The following is a 9,008-nucleotide window of genomic DNA, read 5'->3' as shown; positions in this document are numbered from 1 at the left end:
GGAATCAGGAGGTATTCACGGGACTGCAGCTATTCAGAAGTCAGCATGGCGGATTCACGTCTAAGATGGGGTCATTTTTGTCTCCACACCTTCATTATTTGTGAGGTTCAAGTATTTTCCTATCTCCATGGACCATTTGTGCTACCTCTGTGAATTCCTGTCCATGTCCTTTGCACATTTCTCTTCTGCATTAGTCCTGGGGAGCAGATAGCTGAGTTTATTGTATTCCTTATTTCACAGCATACAAAAAGCATCAATGGATGCAATGCGACTCTTGTTTTGCCTTTGTATTTTCTTCTTCATCTTTGATCCCCGCTCCATCCTATTTAAATGTGAATAGGCTGGGCGTGGTGACTCATGCCTGTAATCCCAGCACTTTGGGTGGCCGAGGCAGGTGGATCACTTGAGGTCAGGTGTTCGAAACCAGCCTGGCCAACATGGTGAAACCCCATCTCTACTAAAAATACAAAAATTAGCCAGGCGTGGTGGCACGTGCCTGTAATCCCAGCTACTCAGGAGGTTGAGGCAGGAGAATTGCTTGAACATGGGAGGCAGATGTTGCAGTGAGCTGAGAACATGCCACTGCATTGTAGCCTGGGCAACAGAGCAAGACTCTGAAAAAAATAAATAAATAAAGAGAGAAAGAAAGAAAGAGAGAGAGAAAGAAAGAAAGAAAGAAAAAGAAAGAAAGAAAGATGTTAACGGATCATTGTGAAGCTTTTATCATTTTTGTGTGTATGTATTTTTTGTTTATGTAAGTGGTATTGTGGTCCGGGTGCAGTGGCTCACGCCTGTAATCCCAGCACTTTGGGAGGTCAAGGTAGGTGGATTGCTGGAGTTCAGGAGTTGGAGACCAGCCTGAGAAACATGGTGAAACCCCAGCTCCACAAAAATATACAAAGAAATTAGCTGGGCATGGTGGCGTGTCCCTGTAGTTCCAGCTACTCGGGAGGCTGAGGCGGGAGGATCACCTGCGCCCAGGAGGTTGAGGCTGCAATGAGCTATGATCACACCACTGCACTCCAGTCTGGGTGACAGAGTGAAACCCTGTCTCAAGAAAAACATAAAAAATAAAACTAAGTATAAAAATAAATAAATGGTATTGTATGTATTTAATTTGCATAAGCAGTATTGATCTCATTTTTGTTCCTTACTCGTTTCCTTCAAAACTGTGCTTTAGGGTTTTTAAAATTTATTTTATTTTCTAGAGATAAGGCCTCACTCTGTCACCCAGGCTGGAGTGCAGTGGTGTGATTATAGCTCACTGCAGCCTCGAACTCCTGGGCTCAGGTGATCCTCTACCACAACCACAACGTCCTGAGTAGCTTGGACTACAGGCATGTGCCACCATGCCTGGCTACTTTAAAAAAAAATTAGTTTTGGAGAGACAGAGGTCTCACTATGCTGCCTAGGCTAATCTTGAACTCCTGGCCTCAAGGACTCCTCCCGCTTAAGCCTACTCAAAATGCTAGAATCAGGCTGGGCAAGGTGGCTTATGCATGTAATCCCAGCACTTTGGGAGGCCGAGGCAGGTGGATTACTTGAGGTCAGGAGTTCAAGACAAGCCTGGCCATCACTGTGAAATCCCGTCTCTACTAAAAATACAAAAATTAGTCGGGCATGGTGGCACACACCTGTAGTCCCAGCTAACTCAGGAGGCTGAAGCAGGAGAATCACTTGAACCCAGGCAGAGGTTGCAGCTAGCTGAGATCACACTACTGCACTCCAGCCTGGGTGACAGAACAAGACTCCATCTCAGAAATAAATAAATAAATAAATAAAAGCTGGAATTAGGCTGGGCGCGGTGGCTCACGCCTGTAATCCCAGCACTTTGGGAGGCCGAAGAGGGAGGATCACGAGGTCAGGAGATTGAGACCATCTTAGCTAACATGGTGAAACCCCGTCTCTACTAAAAATACAAAAAATTAGCCGGGCATGGTGGCGGGCGCCTGTAGTCCCAGCTACTCGGGAGGCTCAGGCCAGAGAATGGCGTGAACCCGGGAGGCAGAGCTTGTAGTGAGCCAAGATCATGCCACTGCACTCCAGCCTGGGCAACAGAGCGAGACTCCTTCTCAAAAAAAAAAAAAAAAAGCTGGAATTATAGGCATGAATCACCATGCCCCATCGTTTTGTTTTTAGAGACAAGGTCTCATATTGCCCAGGCTGGCCTCAAACTCCTGGGGTCAAGAGATCCTCCCGCCTCAGCATCCCAAGTATCTGGGATTATGGGCACATGCCACCCTCCGCTGCTAACACTGTGGTTTTTGTTTTTGTTTTTTGTTTTTTGATTTTTTTTTTTTTTGAGACAGAGTCTCGCTTTGTTGCCCAGGCTGGAGTGCAGTGGTGCAATCTTAGCTCGCTGCAACCTCCACCTCCCGGGCTCAAGCAATTCTCCTGCCTCAGCCTCCCAAGTAGCTGGGATTACAGACTTGCGTTACCATACCCAGCTAATTTTTGTATTTATTTTTTAGTAGAGACCAGGTTTCACCATGTTGGCCAGGCTGGTCTTGAACTGCTGACCTCAGGTGATCCGCCCGTCTCGGCCTCCCAAAGTGCTGGGAATACAGGCGTGAGCCACTGTGCCTGGCCCGCACTGTGTTTTAAAAGCCTTGTAGATCCTGACTGTTGCATAGTGTTCCGTAGTTTCCCTTTGTATGCTTTACTTAATTCATCCTTCTGACAATGGATGCCAGACTGGCTCCCAAGTCCTGTTCTCACAAAGAACACCGTGGTCAACACCGCTGCACATGCCTCTTTGTACACCTGAATGAGAATCTCTCTGGCCTACTTATCCAAGGCTGAGAGTGTAAGGTCTTGGCATAAACATACACCTAATTTCAGATTGCTTGAGAGAAGGGCTGTCAGTTTATGTGCCTACAGAAGACCAAGGATTTCTGTCTGCCCACATTCTCACCAAACATTGACATTATTCACCTTATGAATTTTGACTAACCCTGGGGTCATAAAATGAGGTCTGGTACTTTTTTTTTTTTTTCGAGACGGATTCTCGCTCTCTCGCTCTGTTACCCAGACTGGAGTGCAGTTGTGCAATCTCAGCTCACTGCAACCTCCACCACCCACGTTCAAAACAATTATCCTGCCTCAGCCTCCCGAGTAGCTGGGATTACAGGTATGTGCCACCACGACTGGCTAATTTTTGTAAAGATGGGGTTTCACCATGTTGGCCAGGCTGCCCTCGAACTCCTGACCTCAAGTGATTCACCCACCTTGGCCTCCCAAAGTGCTGGGATTACAGGTGTGAGCCACCGTGCCTGGCCAGAAATCCTTAATCTTTTTTTAAGTCTGGTAAAAAAAAAATCTTTAATTTTGATGGAGTTAGACTCATAAATGTTTTTGAATAGAGCTTTGTATTTTGAGAGTCTTTCTTTTCCTATCCCTAGGTGGGGTATTTTCCTATATTCTATTCTATTAGTTTACGCTTAACATCTGTGTCCATAACGAAATGCTCTGTGTACAGACTTTTCTGATACTGTCTTTATCTGGCTTGCGGGGGTCATACAAGAAATTGGGCAGCCTTCTCTCTTTCTGGCTTCTGTAACAACTGGTGTGAGATAAGGACCATCTGTTCCTCCAAAGGCTGGTAGAACTGCCCTATAAAAACATTTCTATTGGGTTTTTTCACATTGGAGTCTCAGATTACAAGTTTCTTTTTCTTTTAGTTTTTTTTTTTTTTTTTTTTTTGAGATGGAGTCTTGCTCTGTCGCCCAGGCTGGAGTGCAGTAGAGTGATCTCGGCTCACTGCAACCTCCACCTCCCAGGTTCAAGTGATTCTCGTGCCTCAGCCTCCCAAGTAGCTGGGATTACAGGCATGTGCCACCACATCCGGGTAATTTTTGTATTTTTAGTAGAGACAGAGTTTCACCATGTTGGCCAGGCTGGTCTCGAACTCCCAACCTCAGGTGATCTGCCTGCCTTAGCCTCCCAAAGTACTAAGATTATAGGCGTGAGCCACTGTGCCCGGCCTATTGTAGTGTTGTTGTTGTTGTTGTTTTCCCAAGAGACAGGGTCTCGCTATGTTTCCCAGGCTGATTTTATATTCCTCGCCTCAAATGATCCTTCTGCCTTAGCCTCCCAAAGTGCTGAGGTTAGGACGGGTGCAGTGGCTCACACCTGTAATCCCAGCACTTCGGAAGGCTTAGCCAGGTGGATCACCTGAGGTCAGGAGTTCGAGACCAGCCTGGCCAACGTGGTGAAACTCTGTCTCTACTAAAAATACAAAAAAATTAGCTGGGCGTGGTGGCTGGCGCCTTTAATCCCAGCTACTCGGAAGGCTGAGGCAGGAGAATCGCTTGAAAATGGGAGGCAGGGGTTGCAGTGAGCCGAGATTGCGCCACCACACTCCAGCCTGGGCAATAAGAGTGAGACTCCATCTCAAAAACAAAATAAAACAAAGTGCTGAGGTCACAGGCATGAGCTACTCAATTTTCTTTCCTGGTTATGGGTCTACTGAAGTTTTGATATTTTTGTGCCAATTTTGACATTTCACATTCTTCCAGAAAGGTATTTACTTTGCTTAAGTTTCTATATTTACCAACATACAATTATTTGTAATGTTTTTTGGTATTTTGATATTTTATGTTATTTGGAAATGGGGTTTTGCTATGTTGCTCAGACTGGACTCAAATTCCTGGGCTAGAACGATCCTATTGAGTAGCTGGGACTACAGGTGTGTGCCACTGTGCCCAGGTTGGTATTTTGATATTTTAAACCTCCATGGGGGGCTGGGCACGGTGGCTCACACCTGTAATCCTAGCACTTTAGGATGCCGAGTTGGGCAGATCGCTTGAGGTCAGAGGTTTGAGATCAGCCTGGCCAACATGGTGAAACCCCGTCTCTACTAAAAAAATACAAAACAATTAGCCAAGTATGGTGGCACACACCTGTAGTCCCAGCTACTCGGAAGGCTGAGGCTCAAGAATCACTTGAACCCGGGAGGCAGAGGTTGCAGCAAGCTGAGATCGCGTCATTGTATTCCAGCCTGGGCGACAGAGTGAGACTCCGCCTCAAAAAAATAAATAAATAAACCTCCATGGGGGGGTGCTCAAGAGTCAGATCACGTGGGGCCTGGGAGCCAGGGAAAGGATTCTGGGTTTGTCCTAAGGATGAACAGCGTGCAAGAATATTTGACTGAGGCTCTAGAATGGAATGGATATGAAATGCCAAAGTGAAGTGCTTGCTCCTGGCCAAACTGCAAAATTTTAAAGAAAGCAGAAACCCATGTTGCCACTGTCGAAGCCCCTCATCCACCGCAAGAGTATAAAGGGATCGAGGGTGGATTTGAAAGGGGCAGTTTGCGGTGATTTGATTTGGAAAGAGCTGCTATGGCAGTGAGTCTGCAGGGGGTGGAGCTGGGGAGCTGCCTTCTAACCTCAAATCTGGTGAGAAGTGCTTCAAGGAAGCCCCCCAGAGCGCTTGAGGTGGGCTTCCTGCAGTCATGGCACCCCCGTGGGTCATTGGTAGGAAAGGCCTCCAGAAAGGAGGTGACCTGCAGTGGGCACTGGACCGCAGGAATGGAAAAAGGGGTCTGGCCCCACGGGCTTGTTTTCTCTGGCACAGGGTATGCAACAGAGTGGGGTAGTGCATGCCACTTGAAAGAAAACCAGAGCCAGTCAACAGAGAGGGGCTGCCCCTTTGCCAGGAGTTTCAGTCAAGGGGGTAGTACATAAGGGAGCCCATAAAACCCCTGAGGGCAGGAGCCAGCTTTAGACAGCTGCCACCCAAGGAGTGAGATGCCATCTTACACCAGTGTCAATCCAGGATGCACTCTCTGCACCCACTGCCCTCCCTCCCTGTTCTCCAAAGGCAGCGTCTTCTCAAGCCTGGGAATGGGGCCAGGGAGAGGCGCAGACCCGACTTCCCTGACTCCTTATCAGTGGGGGCTGCAATGGCCAGAAGTGGAAAAAGCTGTGTTCGTTTTTTTTGTTTGTTTGTTTGTTTGTTTGTTTGTTTTGAGACAAGCTCTCGCTCTGTTGCCCAGGCTTGAGTGCAGTGGTGCTATCTTGGGTCCCTGCAGCCTCAAACTCAAGCGATCCCTGCAGCCTCAGCCTCACGACCAGCTGGGACTACAGGTGCGTACTACCACGCCCAGCCCAAGAATACTTCATTCTAAATCAAGTTCTGGGATTTGGCCACTACACAAAACTGGGCACTTTAATAGAGATTTGTTTAGTAACTTTAGGTGATCACAGGACGATGAGGAAATGGCAGCATAAGATGTAATGGCTGCACTCCCTCTGGCTGTGAGTAGAAATTAGACTGGAGGGCCTGGGGTGGAAACAGTGGCCTGTCATCCAGGAAGTGGGAGGGGAGGGGAAGGGAGGGGAAGGGAGGGCAGGGGAGAGGTCTGAGCCTGGGCCCACCACCATTCAGAGGTCAAGAGAGGTCAGGGAGATGTGGCCATGGAGACAAGACCACAGCCCACGGTGGGGAAGAAGATTGCCAAGAGAGGCCGGGCGCGGTGGCTCACGCCTGTAATCCCAGCACTTTAGGAGGATGAGGCGGCGGATCACAAGGTCAGAAGATCGAGACCATCCTGGCTCATACGGTGAAACCCCGTCTCTAGTAAAAATAAAAAAAATTAGCCATGCGTGGTGGCGGGCGCCTGTAGTCCCAGCTACTCGGGAGGCTGAGGCAGGAGAATGGTGTGGACCCGGGAGGCGGAGCTTGTAGTGAGCCGAGATGGCGCCACTGCACTCCAGCCTGGGTGAGAGTGCGAGACTCCGTCTCAAAAAAAAAAAAAGATTGCCAAGAGAGTGAGGGCCCCCATCCAAGTGAAGAAAGTGTTTCAAAGAGGAGGCAAGCGACCAACTATGACAAGAGCCACTGAGAGGTCAAGGCGAGCCCAAATGAGAACAACTGAATCGCCTGGACCCATTCTCCAAGGACTCATTGTGGGAGGCTTATTACAGGCTTTGGCTGTGCGAATGCGGCTGAGATTGGCCTTCACCACATCACACCGCAGGCCCCATCTGAAACTGTTCTTTTGCAGCTAAAGTCTAGGAAAAAATTTCTTTCCACTGAAGAAGTTTTCTCCGGAAAAAAAAAAAAAAGTTTTTTGCTTTGGCTGCCAGAAAGCTCAGAACTAAATTTGATATTGAATTAATAAAGCACTTTTACAGGCCTTTATGGGTTGCATATTTATATATGTATGCTATTGTTTCTGATCTTTATTTTCTCTTTTAATTATATTTTATTATTTTATTTAAAAAATTTTTTAATAATTTTTTTAGAGACAGGGTCTCACTATGTTGCCTAGGCTGGTATCAAACTCCTGGCCTCAAGTGATCCTCCTGCCTTGGCCTCCCAAAGTGCTGGGATTATGGTGTGAGCCATCCCATGTGGCCTAAATTTTTTTTTTTTTTTTTTTTTTCAGATAGAGTTTCGCTTTGTCACCAGGCTGGAGTGCAGTGGCACGATCTTGGCTCACTACAACCTCCATCTCCCGAGTTCAAGAGATTCTGCTGCCTCAGCCTCCCGAGTACCTGGGGCTGCAGGCGTGCACCACCACACCCAGCTAATTTTTGTATTTTTAGTAGAGACAGGGTTTCACCATGTTGGTCAGGATGGTCTCGATCTCTTGACCTCGTGATCCGCCCTCCTCAGCCTCCCAAAGTGCTGGGATTACAGGCATGAGCCACCACACCCGGCCTAAAATTTTTTGTTTTTAGAGATAAGATCTTGCTATGTTGCCCAGTCTGGACTCACATTCCTGGTCTCAAGTGATCCTCCCTCCTCGGGCCTCCAGAGTAGCTGGGAGTGCACCACTGGTAGCACGGGTGTATACCACTGCACCCATCCACATTCTTGAATCTCCATTTCTGTTTTTTAAATTTTACCTTCCTTGTTCTTGTTGGAAGCCACCTCAGGTGCACTGGGAATGTGGTTTGCAAATTAATCAATGGTATTTCATTTATTCGGCAAGCATACAATGATGTCTTGTAGTAGTCAGGTCTCTCTAGCATACAATTGGCCTAAATACATTATTAAAGATAAAAATAAATGTCTTCACCCATTCTCTGTTGCTTATAACAGAAAACCTGGAACTGGGTAATTTATTTAAAAAACGGAGTCTTGCTCTATCGCCCAGGCTGGAGTGCAGTGGTGCGATCTCGGCTCACTACAACCTCCACTGCCCAGGTTCTCGCAATTCTGCAGCCTCAGCCTCCTGAGTAGCTGGGATTACAGGCACCCACCACCACATCCAGCTAATTTTTGTATTTTTAGTAGAGATGGGGTTTTGCCATGTTGGCCAGGCTTGTCTTGAACTCCTGATCCCAGGTGATCTGCCTGCCTCAGCGTTCCAAAGTCCTGGGATTACAGGCGTGAGCGATTGCACCCGGCCACATGTGCTGTCTTGAGTCTCACGGCCACCCCTGACCAATGGCTGTGGGGAGGGTATCTTGACCAGCGGTCCTGGAGGTGCCACCTGGTTGGAGTGGGGTGGGCGTCAGTTCTCTAGGGATACGGATATGATTTGGGGTGGCCTGAAGGAAGAAGGGCAGGGCAGACCCATGCACAAAAACATGCCCACCACGTACCTACCACGTGCCAGGCCCTGTGAGACATCCTGGAGACACAGACGTGAATCCGACAGGCCCTGTGTCCCCAAGAGGGGCGCTTTCCAGAAGTGGAGGTGAAACCTGCAAGCACAGTTATCCCAGCCAGAGCATGGGAAGAAACTTGGAGAGGGGACAGGTGAAGGACTTGGGGAGTTCAAAGGATGAGGAGGGACTCTAGGTTCTGGCCTTGAGGAAGTAAGGTGAACTGAAATTGCCCTTTTTCTACAAACAGCTAAGAAACTGGACAAAGCACAGGAAACAAGTGTTTTCAGATATTAGACAAAGGGCAGCTCAGGGCTGTGATCCCTGAAAAACGGAAGATAAAGGGGAGGAGCCCTGACATTGCATAGGTGATTTTCCTACCACTGCACTGGGAGGGCAACCGTTGTTCTCACCGAGTTAAGAAGACGAGACCAGAGTTTGGGAAGG

General features: G+C 48.0%; 1 annotated feature.

The window, feature by feature from the left end:
- Positions 5-529: an enhancer, noted in NCBI's record as "NANOG hESC enhancer chr11:65704708-65705232 (GRCh37/hg19 assembly coordinates)". NCBI's record gives its function as "activates a minimal SCP1, AML or CMV promoter by ChIP-STARR-seq in naive H9 embryonic stem cells {active_cell/tissue: H9 hESC(naive)}" and the evidence as "EXISTENCE:reporter gene assay evidence [ECO:0000049][PMID:30033119]".

The sequence above is a fragment of the Homo sapiens genome, chromosome 11, assembly GCF_000001405.40.
Source record: "Homo sapiens chromosome 11, GRCh38.p14 Primary Assembly".
In the NCBI taxonomy this organism is placed as follows: Eukaryota; Metazoa; Chordata; class Mammalia; order Primates; family Hominidae; genus Homo; species Homo sapiens.
The sequence above is the reverse complement of the archived record's forward strand: the minus strand, read 5'-3'. Positions and strand labels throughout refer to the sequence as shown.